The sequence below is a fragment of the Homo sapiens genome, chromosome 7 (genome assembly GCF_000001405.40).
Source record: "Homo sapiens chromosome 7, GRCh38.p14 Primary Assembly".
Taxonomy (NCBI): domain Eukaryota; kingdom Metazoa; phylum Chordata; class Mammalia; order Primates; family Hominidae; genus Homo; species Homo sapiens.
In genome coordinates this window covers 138,704,321-138,718,501 of record NC_000007.14, presented here as the reverse complement: position 1 = coordinate 138,718,501, position 14,181 = coordinate 138,704,321, and the positions used below count along the sequence as shown (strand labels likewise).

General features: G+C 47.3%; 1 protein-coding gene across 3 annotated transcripts in view; it reads left to right on the top strand.

Annotated features, from left to right (window-relative positions):
- ATP6V0A4 (ATPase H+ transporting V0 subunit a4) overlaps nucleotides 1–12,208 on the top strand; it is a 91,903-nt gene extending 79,695 nt beyond the window's left edge. For all 3 annotated transcript variants that reach the window (NM_130840.3, NM_020632.3, NM_130841.3), the window contains 3 exons: nucleotides 2,621–2,738; nucleotides 8,707–8,878; nucleotides 11,785–12,208. In NM_130840.3, coding sequence (NP_570855.2) covers nucleotides 2,621–2,738; nucleotides 8,707–8,878; nucleotides 11,785–11,878 — 384 coding nt within the window. In that variant the 3' untranslated portion in view covers nucleotides 11,879–12,208. The remainder of the gene's footprint in view (nucleotides 1–2,620; nucleotides 2,739–8,706; nucleotides 8,879–11,784) is intronic.

Here is a 14,181-nt window from a genome sequence, read left to right as displayed (position 1 = left end):
GCAGACCTCCGTGACTGCACCCTCCCCGCCATCCCCCCCATTCCTTCCTGGATGTCTCCCTCCGCAGACATCCGTGACTGCACGCCCCCCCTTCCTTCCTGGACGTCTCCCTCCACAGACATCCGTGACTGCATTCCCCCCTTCCTTCCTGGACGTCTCCCTCCGCAGACATCCATAACTGCACACACACACACACACACACACACACACACACACACACACCGCCATTCCTTCCTGGACGTCTCCCTCCGCAGACATCCATAACTGCGCGCACACACACACACACACACACACACACACCCATTCCTTCCTGGACGTCTCCCTCCACAGACATCCGTGACTGCATCCCCCCTTCCTTCCTGGACGTCTCCCTCTGCAGACATCCGTGACTGCACCCCCGCCCCCCATTCCTTCCTGGACGTCTCCCTCCACAGACACCCGTGACTGTACCCCCCCACTCCTTCCTGGACGTCTCCCTCCGCAGACATCTGTGACTGCAGCGTGACTGCTCTAGCTTCTTTGATCTTTTCTTTTCCTCATCAGTTTCTTGTTTTGTTATCTCATCTCACTCTTTTTTTTTTTTTTTTTTTTTCCGAGACAGAGTCTCACTGTGTCGCCCAGGCTGCAGTGCAGTGGCAAGATCTCAGCTCACTGCAACCTCCGCCTCCCGGGTTCAAGCGATTCTCCTGCCTCAGCCTCCCAAGTAGCTGGGACTACAGGCATGCGCCACCACCCCTGTCTAATTTTTGTGTTTTTAGTAGAGGTAGGGTCTCACCATGTTGGCCAGGCTGGTCTCAAACTCCTGACTTCAAGTCACCCACCTGCCTTGGCCTCCCAAAGTGCTGGGATTACAGGCATGAGCCACCGTGCCCGGCCTTGTTTTGTTATCTCTGAATGAAGATGTTTCCCAAGGCTGGGAGCGCCTCTTTCTTTTCTTTTCTTTTTCTTTTTCTTTTTTTAGACAGAGTCTCACTCTGTTGCCAGGCTGGAGTGCAGTGGCGAGATCTCGGCTCACTGCAACCTCCACCTCACAGGTTCAAGCGATTCTCCTGCCTCAGCCTCCTGAGTAGCTGGATTACAGGTGCACGCCACCACACCCAGTTAATTTTTTAATTTTTAGTAGAGACGAGGTTTCACCGTGTTCGCCAGGATGGTCTCGATCTCTTGACCTTGTGATCCACCTGCCTTGGTCTCCCGAGGTGCTGGGATTACAGGCGTGATCTCCTCTTTCCTTGATCTTTCCCTTGTTGATCTCCTCCATCCTCCTGCAGATGCAGTCTCAGGAGTCCGTTTCCAGCCGGGACTTTTCTTCGGGGCTTCGGTAGTTCCACCTGAGCTCCCATGTGCAGAGTGTCTACTGATAAGGCCCACTGCCATCTGAAACTCAGCATGTGGAGAGCCAACTGCCCACCTCCTCTGTCAATGTCATTCTTCCAGCTACTTGGGCTTAGGAGCCTCAGAGCCCTGGCTGCCCTGGCCCTGAGTGGGTAAGGGGCCTTCTCTGTGTTCCCACGATACCACTGCATGCCCTGGTCATTGCGCTTCCCAGAGTGTGGCATGGGAACCCTTCTACATATTCTCCTGACTAGGCTGTGAGCAACTTGAGGGCATGTACAGCACCAGTCAATTGTCCCCCATGGCCAGGCACAGTGGCTCACACCTGTAATCCCAGCACTTTGGGAGGCTGAGGCAGGCAGATTGCTTAAGGCCAGGAGTTCCAGACCAGCCTGGGCAACATGGTGAAACCCCATCTCTACAAAAAATACAAAAATTAGCCAGGTATGGTGATGCATGCCTGTAGTCCCAGCTACTCGGTAGGCTGAGATGGGAGGATCACCTGAACCTGGGAGGTCAAGGCTGCAGTGAGCTATGATTGTGCTACTGCATTCCAGCCTGAGTGACAGAGCAAGACCCTCCCCCCCCCCCAAAAAAAAATTGTCTGTCACATCAGAGAGCATGAGGGGAGAATGAGCTATGGCTGTCTTCTTCGTTCTGTTATTTACTTCTTTCCTGTGTTACTGAGCTCATAACCAAATTGTCCTTTTTTTTTTTTCTTTAAGGCTGTCCCTTCTCTAAACTATGATGCTACCAGAGTAACCTGCCTCTATGGCTCCTCACTGAATCCAGGTTGTTTCTTCAACTTTACCCATAGCTTGCCTTTCTAGAAACTTCCACACAGGAGGACTGTCTTCTATTCCTCACCTAAACAAGCTCCCAGTTCCAGCCAAATTGTTTTCTTTCCGACTTGACTAGGTGATATTCCCAGCTACCTGTTTCTTTCCCAACCAGGGATCCTTTTGCTCCTCAGGAACAATTTCTTGTCCTTCAAGTCACATTCCTACCCAGCCTTCCTGGCACAGCACAAATCTCATCTCCCCTTACCACCCATTTGTCATCTTTGAGCTTTTTTTCAGCTATTGCTGGGGAACGTTAAGACACACATAACATACGACTTTGTGCTGATAATTCTTTCTCTAAGTCTATTACTATTTCTTTTCCCCTAGTTAGACTGAAAGTGTCTGAACAGCAAAGCCCATGTCTTATTCATCTTTGCATCATTTGGAATAACTTTTGTGTAGAAAATTCTCAATGAAGTAAAATAAACAATTCCGTCTTTCAGTTCAACTTTGGAGACGTCTTTGTCCACCAAGCCATCCACACCATCGAGTACTGCCTGGGCTGCATTTCAAACACAGCCTCCTACCTGCGGCTCTGGGCCCTCAGCCTGGCTCATGCACGTGAGTGAGCAGCCCATCGGGGGGACAGTCAGCTCTCCCCAACACCCCAGGAAATAGGTGCCATGTATTTGGAAGTAAAGGTGACTTCTCCGAGCTATTTGTGGATGTTTGCCAAAAGAATGACTCTTCTTTCCCAGGCACAGGTGCCTTTTCTGTGGGTCTGGCTGCACGTTGCTGGGGTGGTCACCCTCTATATTAATAGTCTCCTACTGCTGCTGTAACAAATTGTCACAAACACTCGTGGCTTAAAACAACACAAATTTGGCCGGGCACGGTGGCTCACACCTGTAATCCCAGAGCTTTGGGAGGCAGAGTTTGGGCGAATTGTTTGAGCCCAGGAGTTCAAGATCAGCCTGGCCAACATGGTGAAACCCGTCTCTACTGAAAATACAAAAATTAGCTGGGCATGGTGGCGGGTGCCTGTAACTCTAGCTACTCGGAGACTGAAGCAGGAGAATTGCTTGAACCCGGAAGGCAGAGGTCGCAGTGAGCCGAGATCACATCACTGCACTCCACCCTGGGCTACAGAGTGAGACTCCGTCTCAAACAAACAGACAAACAAAAAACCCAACAACACAAATTTGGTGTCTTCCAGTTTTTGAAGCCAGAGTCCTAAAATCAAGGCGTGGGCAGCCGTGCTCCTGCTGCAGGCTGCAGGTAGAATTTGTTTCCTGGCCTTTCCAGCCTCTTGAGGCTGCCTGCATTCTGTGGCTTGCGGCTCCTCTTTGCATCACTTCAACCTCTGCTTCCAGCATCAAATCTCCTTTTTCTCTGACTGTGACTCTCCTGCCTTCCTCTTACAAAGACTCTAGTGATGACATTGGGCATATCCAGATAATCCGGGATAATGCCCCTCTGTCAGGATTCTTGGCTTAATCTCATCTGCAAAGCCACTGTTGCCATGTAATATAGTATGTTGACAGGTTATTAGGATTAGAATTAGGATGTAGACATCTTTGGGGATGGGGGAACATATTTTTTCAGGCTACCATGCCCTTCTGCAAGGTGCTGACCTTTAAGAGAACGCCTGCCTTGGTTATGAGCATTGCGGGGAGTCAGTTGGCTGCCTGCTGAGCTGACCCTCAGGAAGTGCTCACCACCTTTGTGAATTCACAGCAGTCCAGGATCAGTCAGGCCAGGCCCAGAAATACAATTGTATCTATCTATCTATCATCTGCCTGTCTGTCTGTCTGTCTGTCTGTCTATCTATCTATCTATCTAAAAGAGACAAGGTCTCACTATGTTGCCCAGGCTGATCTCACACTCCTGGCCTCAAGGGATCCTCTTGCCTCAGCCTCCCAAAGTGCTGGGATTTCAGGCATTGGAAATACAGTTTTGATAAAGATCCGAGCCCCTGGGGTTGCCTAACGTCAGGAATCATGACTCACCAACTCACTTGTAAGCCCCATCTTGATCTCTGGGTCCTTCTCCAGTCTTGTTTCTTGTCAGTTTTCCTTAGTGCCCCAGCACTCCAGACCCATCCGTTTCATATGCAGTGGCCCTGAGGAGCGTTTTTTTTTTTTTTCCTAAGACAGGGTCTCCCTCTGTTGCCCAGGATGGAGTGCAGTGGCGCTATCACGGCCTCGAACTCCCAGGCTCATGTCATTCTACCGCCTCAGCTTCCCAAGTAGCTGGGACCACAGGTGCATGCCACCATGCCTGGGCCAATTTTTTTTTTTTTTTTTTTTGGTAGAGGTAGGGTTTTGCCTTTTTGCCTAGGCTAGCCTCAAACTCTTGGGCTCAAGCAGTTCTCCTGTCTTGGCCTCCCAAGTAGCAGGGACTATAGGCACACACCAACATACTTGGCGAACTTTTTTTTTTTTTTGGTAGAGACAGGGTTTTGCCATGTTGCCCAGGCTTGTCTTGAACTTCTGGGCTCAAACAGTCCTCCTGCCTTGGCCTCCCAAAGTGCTGGGATTACAGGTGTGAGCCATTGTGCCTGGCCTGAAGAACTATCTCCTGAAGACGCAGTACTCCCTGGGCCCCTCTGTGTGTTTGCCCCTGCAGCCCCCTTGCCTGAAATAGTCCCTTCTTTAATTCTCTCTCTATCTGATATTTAATTCGTCCTTCATAACTCAGCTGGAAATCTTCTTTCCTAGTCCCCCAGTCTGGAAGATGCCTTCCTGTGGTTCTGGGGCATGCTCTTAACCTAGCTTCAATTATAATTGTCTTGATTAGCCTGTCTTCCTACTGGACTATGAGCTCCTTGAAAGCAAAGAACCTGACTTTTATCTTAGCATTCCTGGCACTGAGCATAATGCCTAGAACAGAGAAGCCAGGCCAAGGTGTGTGCTGAAGGGATAGAAACGAAACTCCAGTACTCAGCATTCGTGTGATCTTCACAGCTCAGCTGTGTTCATTTCCTCCCACAAACTCACATACACACACTTTCACATGCACATGAACGCTGATGCACACACTCAGCCCTGCAAGTGGCTGCAGCACAGACACCCATAAGCATATCTTTTTTTTTTTTTTTTTTTCAGGCTGGAGTGCCGTGGCGTGATCTCGGCTCACTGCAACCTCCGCCTCCCAGGTTCAAGCAATTCTTCTGCCTCAGCCTCCTGAGTAGCTGGGACTACAGGTGCACACCACCATGCCCAGCTAATTTTTTTTTTTTTTAATTTTTGTATTTTCAGTAGAGACGGGGTTTCACCATGATGGCCAGGATGGTCTCGATCTCTTGACCTCGTGATCTGCCCGCCTCGGCCTCCCAAAATGCTGGAATTACAGGCGTGAGCCACCGCGCCCGGCCGCATGTCTTTACTCCTGTGCACTGCTGTGCATTCATGTGAAGTGGCTGTCCCAGGACTGTCACCTACTTGTTCCTTAGAGTGGATCTCAGCGCTTCGTGCAGTCAGTGGTGGTAATGTTGGTCTTCAGCTCTAACCCCAGCAGTAGTTGGAGGACTTGAGTCATAATAGGGCTGAGTCTAGATAAGACAGGAGGAGGAGTTTTGGTATTCTTGGCCCTATGTGTCGGGGTGTCCTCTGGCCAGCCCATACACACACTGAGGGGGTCATTTGATTCCTAAAAACCCATATGGTTCATGGCTGCCTGCCCTGATTCACCCACTGGGTCATTCTAGAAGTCCCTGCTAGACGTGGCTTCCAGTCCATACTAACACAGTTGCTTAAAGAGGTAATGTGGAAAAATGGGGAAAAAATTAAAACACTGACTTAAATTCTGGTTCCTTTTCTACCACTTTTGGTTGAGTAACTTATACAAGAAATTTAACCTTTGTGTGCCGGGGCTTTCATCAGTGGTCCTAGTAGTTAGCCTCCTGCACTGGTCAGGTTAGGCTAAACTCTGTTGCAATAACAACTTACCCTCTAAATCTCAGGTCCCTAGGCCAGAGTTTGGCACTATGTGTTGGGGTGTCCTCTGGCCAAAATTCCTCCTGTCTTATTTAGACCCATCCCTGGTATGACCCAAGTCCTTCAAACTACTGCTGAGGTTGGAGCTGAAGACCAACATCAGGACCACGGATGACTTGAAGCGCTGAGATCCACTTTAAGGAACAAAGTGGGGCTGGGCGTGGTGGCTCACACCTATAATCCCAGCACTTTGGGAGGCCAAGGTGGTGGGGGGATTACCTGAGGTCAGGAGTTCGAGACCAGCCTGGCCAACATGGTAAAACCCCCTCTCTACTAAAAATATAAAATTAGCTGGGTGTGGTGGCACACGCCTGTAATCCCAGCTACTCGGGAGGGTGAGGCAGGAGAATAACTTGAACCTGGGAGCTGGAAGTTACAGTGAGCCGAGATCACACCACTGCACTCCAGCCTGGGTGACAGAGCGAGACTCTGTCTCGAAAAAGGAAAAAAAGGAACAAAGTGGGTGACAGTCATGGGATAGCCACTTCACACGAATGCACATCAGTGCACAGGAGTAAAGACATGCTCATGGGTGTCTGTGCTGCGGGTACACGCAGGGCTGAGTGTGTGCATCTGAGTATTCGTGTGCACGTGAAAGTCTGCGTATGTGAGTTTGTGCAAGGAAATGAACATAGCCTGAGCTGTGAAGATCACACGAATGCTAAGCACTGGAGTTTCTACTGTAAATCTCAGGTACGGGTCTAACCCGACGGGGGTGAAGCTGCTCCCATTGATGAAAGACTCTGCATCACTGTAGCAGGCAGAAAACCAGATCTTGGGGGGCAGCAAGCAAATAGGGGTCCTCTTCCTTGCGTTCCATGTCTCTGCGTTTATCATGTTCTGATAGCCGCTTGCAAGTGGCAGGCCTGTGTCTCTCTGGGCTACATCATTGTGACCTTTTAGCAGGGGCCTTCAAATCTCAAGCCAAGGATGTAATGATGCTATTTCCCTGCAAGGTGCATATCCCAGGCTGTTGGGCATGATAACTAGGGAAGAAGCATTCACACGTGCTCTGTGACCAGGGACACCTAAGCATGGACCCTTACTTGCATAGGTTGGACAGTGAGAGCCCTTGTAGGGCAGTTAGCTGGGGACACGGGCTCAGCTACGAGTCCGGGTTTTTTCCGATCCCCATCCATGACCTCCCTCCTCTTGGATTTCACTCCCCTCAGGGCCTTTTAAAACATTCCCCGACTGTCAGCCTTTGAGAGACTCCATGGGCATGTAAGAAATGTGTAGAAAAGACCTTTAGAGCTGGGGGTGTGGGAAACAGCTGAGGAGGTAACGGGTAGGGAAGTGGGGGTGGGGGGACGGTGGTGTCATAGGAACAGGCCAGAGGGGGCTGTGTGGCATTTGCCCCTGAACTTTTCGGAACTTTAGTTTCCTTATCTATGAGATGGGCATCATAAAACCTAATTTATAGGGTTGATATGGGCCTTACTGGGATAATATGTGTAAACTGCTTCGAATTCCTCTGACTTGGCTCTTAATTTGGAGTCTGTGGCTGAACTTCAGGCTTTCTGTAAATCCCCTGAAACTACGTATAAGATGTTGTTGGGCGTCTCTGTGTGCATTTTTCTGGGGAAAGGATTCATGACTTTCTTCAGATTCCAGAGGGGACCCGTGACCACCAAAGAGTGAAAAGAGCCACTTTCCCGAGTGAGGCTGAATTCACCTCCTGTGCTCAGTACCTGGCATGTGCCCTTGTACATTGCAGTGACTGAATAAATATTAGCTAAACGTTTTTTGAAATGTGGTTAGGATTTCAATCTTTTTAAAAACATTTTTACTTTGAAATATAGCATGTTTACAAAAATGCATAAAATATATATTCAGCCTAATGGATTTTTGTAAAGCAAACACTCATGTAACCACTTCCTGGTCAAAGAAGAGGCTGTGGCTGGGCGCGGTGGCTTACGCCTGTAATCCCAGCACTTTGGAGGCCGAGGCGGGTGGATTATGAGGTCAAGAGATTGAGACCACCCTGGCCAACGTGGTGAAACCCCATCTCTACTAAATATACAAAAATTAGCTGGGTGTAGTTGCATACACCTGTAGTCCCAGCTACTCGGGAGGCTGAGGCAGGAGAATTGCTTGAACTCGGGAGGTAGAGGTTGCAGTGAGCCAAGATCACGCCATTGCACTCCAGACTGGGCGACAAGAGCGAAACTCTGTCTCGAAAAAAAAAAAAAAATTAACAGACAGTGGCGGCACACTTCTGTGGTCCCAGCTACTTAGGAGGCTGAGGTGGGAGGATCACTGGAGCCTGTGAGGTCAAGGCTGCAATGAGCCATAATTGCACTATGGCATTCCAGCCTGGGTGACACAGTGAGAACCTGTCTCAAAAAATAATAATAAAATAATAATAATCTGGGCTGGATGTGGTGGCTCACGCCTGATTTCCCAGCACTTTGGGAGGCTGAGACAGGAGGATTGCTTCAGGCCAGGAGTTGGAGACCATCCTAGGCAACAGAGTGAGACCCTGTCTCTATTTAAAATATATATATATTTTTAATTAAAAAGATGAGAAAATACAATAAATAACAATCTGCATTTACAAGATAATCCCAGTGGTTTCTCGTACCTTGCAGAACTGTCTGAAGTGCTCTGGACTATGGTGATGAACAGCGGCCTTCAGACGCGAGGCTGGGGAGGAATCGTCGGGGTTTTTATTATTTTTGCCGTATTTGCTGTCCTGACAGTAGCCATCCTTCTGATCATGGAGGGCCTCTCTGCTTTCCTGCACGCCCTGCGACTGCACTGGTAAGGATGGTTGTCCCCTGGAAGCTCAATGTGGTGTTGGGAAAGGGAGTGGGCTGTGGGGCCAGCCGACTGGGTTCAGATCGTGAGCTGTATGTGACTTTAGCAGCTTACATACCTCTTTGGAGCCTTAGTTTAGTCATCTGTTGGTGTAATATTAAATGATGTAATATATGTGTATATATATGTATATATACATATATACACACACACTCATTCATACTTATTCAGACTCTCATATATGTTAGTTCTCATTTACTCCTTCCCTTTTAGATGATCAGTGTTCATTTGTTATTACAATTGGCTTTAACCCAAGTGACATTTCCAAGTATTGGCAAGGTGGCATCTGAGATAGGCTCACAGAAGACATGCTTAGAAAATCTGGAATATTTGGCTTTTTTTTTTTTTTTTTTTTTTTGAGACAGGCTCTCACTCTGTTGTCCAGGCTGGAATGCAGTGGTGCAATCTTGGCTCACTGCAACCTCCACCTACCGGGTTCAGGCGATTCTCCTGCCTCAGCCTCCTGAGTAGCTGGGATTACAGGCGTCTGCCACTACGCCCAGCTAAGTTTTGTATTTTTGGCAGAGACGGGGTTTCCCCATGTTTGCTAGGCTGGTCTCGAACTCTTGGCCTCAAGTGATTCACCCGCCTCAGCCTCCTGAAGTGCTGGGATTACAGGCATGCACCGTCACACCTGACTAATTTTTGTATTTTTAGTAGAGATGGGGTTCCCCTATGTTGGCCAGGCTGGTCTCAAACTCCTGGCCTCAAGTGATTCATCTGCCTCAGCCTCCCAAAGTGCTGGGATTACAGGCATGAGCCACTGCGCCCAGTGAATCTGGGATGTTTGGCTCTTGTTGCTGAGTAGAGGAGTTATACCAACAAGGTATGAAAATCTCAAAAGTGGAAAGAGAAGGAGGGTACCACCAGGAGGGAGACGCTCACCGGGAGCCCTGGACATGCACAGATGTATCCAGTGACAATCAGCCGTCGTTAGGTTGATGAATATGGAAACATGTTTAGGCCTCTGGTTGTCTTCCAAGTTACATTTCAACCAAGAATTCTGAGTGTGCAGTGCATGCCCTTCAGCTGCAGAGACTGTACCCAGCTTGCCCTGATGTTTTCTTCCTCCCTCTATGGCCACTATTCATAAAGAAGCCTTTGCACTTCATGTACTGAGTGAGGAGAGCCACAGCATCCCCTGCCTCCATGATGACGTCATTCCCCTCCATGTCATTGAGGAGAGGAACTGAACTCTGTAAATTAATAAAACATAAATGAGGCTGGGCACGGTGGCTCATGCCTGTAATCCCAGCACTTTGGGAGGCCAAGGCGGGCGGATCAGCTGAGGTCAGGAGTTTGTGACCTGATCGACGTGGAGAAACCCCGTCTCTACTGAAAATACAAAATTAGCTGGGGTGGTGGCGCATGCCTGTAATCCCAGCTACTCAAGGGGCTGAGGCAGGAGAATGGCTGGAACCCGGGAGGTGGAGCTTGCAGTGAGCTGAGATGGAGCCACTGCACTCCAGCCTGGGCAACAGAGCGAGACTCCGTCTCAAAATAAATAAATAAATAAATAAATAAATAAATAAATAAATAAATAAATAAAATAAAACATAAATCATCCGACATGGTATCAGTTATGTGAGTTACAAAAATACAGGTCAAGGGTCTTTGCGTTCTATAATATGTGAGTCCCACATTTTAGAATTAGCTGGAAATGGAAAATGACATGAGAGAGTGCTGCACAGTGAGGGTGTCTTGGCTTGTCATGGGGGTGGGGAAGCTCCTTCCATGAAGGAAGAGTTGTTATGCTGTGACCATGAGCCCACAAGCAGAGAGGCCTGGAGGAAATGAAGGGGAGGGGAAGGGGAAGGTGGTAAGAGACAGATGAGAGAAGGGCTTAAAAAATCCTCAGATTCATGGCCTGGATGCAGTGGCTTACACCTGTAATCCCAGCACTTTGGGAGGCTGAGGTGTGTGGATCACCTGAGGTCAGGAGTTCGAGACCAGCCTGGCCAACATAGCAAAACCTGGTGTTTACTAAAAATACAAAAATTAGCTGGGCATGGTGGTGGGCATCTGTAATCCCAGCTACTCGGAAGGCTGAGGCAGGAGAATTGCTTGAGCCTGGGAGGCAGAGGTTGCAGTGAGCTGAGATCGCACTATTGCACTCCAGCCTGGACCACAAGAGCAAAACTCTGTCTCAAAAAATATATATATATAATATATTTATTTTTATATATATATAAATATATATATAATATAATATATATTATAATATATATATTATAAATATAAATATAAATATAAATAAATATAAATATATTTATAATATAATTATTATATAGAATATATAATATAATATATATTCTATATAATATAATATATATTATATAATATATTCTATATAATATAATATATTATATAATATATATAATATATTATATAATATATATAATATATTATATATTAATATATTAATATTGATGTATATATAATATTATATATAATAATATATATGATATATTATACACACACACACACACACACACACATATAAATTAGCTAGGCATGGTGGTATATGCCTATAGTCCCAGCTACTCAGGAGGCTGAGACAGGAGAATCTCTCTTGAACCTGAGAGGCGGAGGTTATAGTGAGCCAAGATCACGACACTGCACTCCAGCCTGGGTGATGGAGCAAGACTCTGTCTCAAAAAAAAAAAAAAAAAAAAAATCCTCAGGATTCTCATGGCAGCCATCAGCCTGGGTGCCTGCCGTGGCCAACCCTTCTGACTTTGTGCTTGATTTTACGAACGCTCTGCTTCCTCCTTCCCTCCACCTTCCAGCCTCTAACTGATGTGTTTCAATCTCCCATTTCTTACCCCACGGCCTCCCCTCAACAACAGGGTTGAGTTCCAGAACAAGTTCTATGTCGGGGATGGTTACAAGTTTTCTCCATTCTCCTTTAAACACATCCTGGATGGCACAGCCGAGGAGTAGGCTGAGGGCTGCACCTCCCACGGTGGTCACCATGCCAATGAAGGAAGTTCAGTCTTGTCTTTGATATCAGCCCCTGCAAGGCGCTCAATGGGAAGGTTGTTCTTGGCTCACCTGAAGCATGAAACTGTGTATTATTTGGACGTCAGCCTGTGGATTTGATACGACTTAACCACGTCAGAGGAAGGACTTTGGCAAGTGATATTGTCTTCATGTGGGGTATTAATTCTCAAATAATAAAGTAATTGACAAATGAGGGGAGAATGCTAAACAGATGTCTTCTTGCAATATTTTAAATATTGTATTTGAGAAAATAAACATCTGAGTCATTCACTTTTTCCTTAAGATGTCTTTATTCGGCCAGGCACAGTGACTCACGCCTGTAATCTTAGCATTTTGGGAGGCCGAGGCGGGTGGATCACCCAAGGTCAGGAGTTTGAGACCAGCCTGGCAAACATGGTGAAACTCTGTCTCTACTAAAAATACAAAAATTAGCTGGGCTTGGTGGCAGGTGCCTGTAATCCCAGCTACTCGGGAGGCTGAGGCAGGAGAATCGCTTGAACCCCGGGGGGCTGAGGTTGCAGTGAGCCGAGATCACACCACTTCACTCCAGCCTGGGCAAAAGAGCAAAACTCCATCTCAAAAAAAAAAAAGATGTTTTTACTCAAAATTATTCCATACCAGTCTGGGCACAGTGACTCACGCCTGTAATCCCAGCACTTTGGGAGGCTGAGGCGGGTAGAATACCTGAGGTTGGGAATCCAAGACCAGCCTGACCAATATGTTGAAACCCCGTCTCTATTAAAAATAAAAAATTATCTGGGCATGGTGGCAGGTGCCTGTAATCCTAGCTACTTGGGAGGCTGATGCAGGAGAATTGCTTGAACCCAGGAGGTGGAGGTTGCAGTGAGCCGAGATCAAGTCACCTCACTCTAGCCTGGGTGACAGAGCAAGACTCCATCTTGGAAAAAAAAAAAAATTATTCCATACCATTTACTACTGACAATTATAGGCCAAAGCTGAACAATAGAGCTACACAAACTAATCCCAGAGAAGGATCATGCATATTGTATTTCCTCATTTCCTCCTTCCTCAAACACCTTTTTCCGTTGTCTAGGGCTAAGCATTACAAGCTTAGGAACTTTCTCATGAATTTTCACTGAGGAAGAAGAGATAATGTTCTCTGTTTGGAGGGAGGGCCGCCCCCGGTGTGGCTCTCTGGTTGCTAAATCCTGTGAAATGAAGTGTGGCAACATGACATCATCGAGGACTTTGTTTACTGTCAATGCACGTTATGCTGGAGTAACTGGAGAAAGAGATTTGGAGGCTTCGACAAGTTCAGAAAATGGTGTGCTGGGAGGAAAACCACCAAGAGGTCTGGCCCGTTACTCCCTGGCTCTGTGGGCACCAAAGTCATTAGTCATTTCTTAAGTGCCTGCACTAACAAACTCCTAAGAGTCCGATAAGTTATATATATGATACACAAGATATATATCATATATGATATATGTGATAAACAAGATATATATGTTTGCATATATATATAGAGAGGTAGGGTCTCACTCTTGCCCAGGCTGGAGTGCAGCGGTGAGATCACAGCTCACTGCAGCCTCAGCCTCCCAAGCTCAAATGTTCCTCCCACCTCAGCCTCCTGACGAGCTGGGACTACAGGTGTGTACCACCATGCCCAGCTAATATTTTTTAGTTTTTTTGTAGAGTTGCCGTGGGTAGGGGGTGTCTCACTGTGTTGCCCGGGCTGGTCTTGAATTCCTGGGCTCAAGCTATCCTCCCGCCTCAGCCTCTCAAAGTGCTGGGGTTACAGGCATGAGCACCCGGCCCCACTGACTGTTTTGTCTGAATGGACTTTATCCATGTAGGTTATTATCTTCATGGTAACTATACTGATAGAATTAAGTATAATTATCTTTTTTTTTTTTTAGTGCTTTTAAAATTTACAAAATAATAGTATCTTATTTAATTTTAAATTTTCTTTTTCTTTCTTCTTCTTTTTTTTTTTTTTTTTTGAGACAGGGCCTCACTCTGTCTCAGGGACTTGCTGGAGTTTAGTGGTGCAATCTTAGCTCGCTGTGACCTCCGGCCTCCCAGGTTCAAGCAATCTCCAGCCTCAGCCTCCTGAGTAGCTGGGATTACAGGCAACCGCCACCATGCATGGCTAATTTTTGTACTTCTAGTAGAGACGTGGTTTCACTGTGTTGGCCAGGCTGGTGTCTCGAAATCCTGGCCTCAAGTGATCCGCCCGCCTTGGCCTCCCAAAGTGCTGGGATTACAGGTGTGAGCCACCGCAT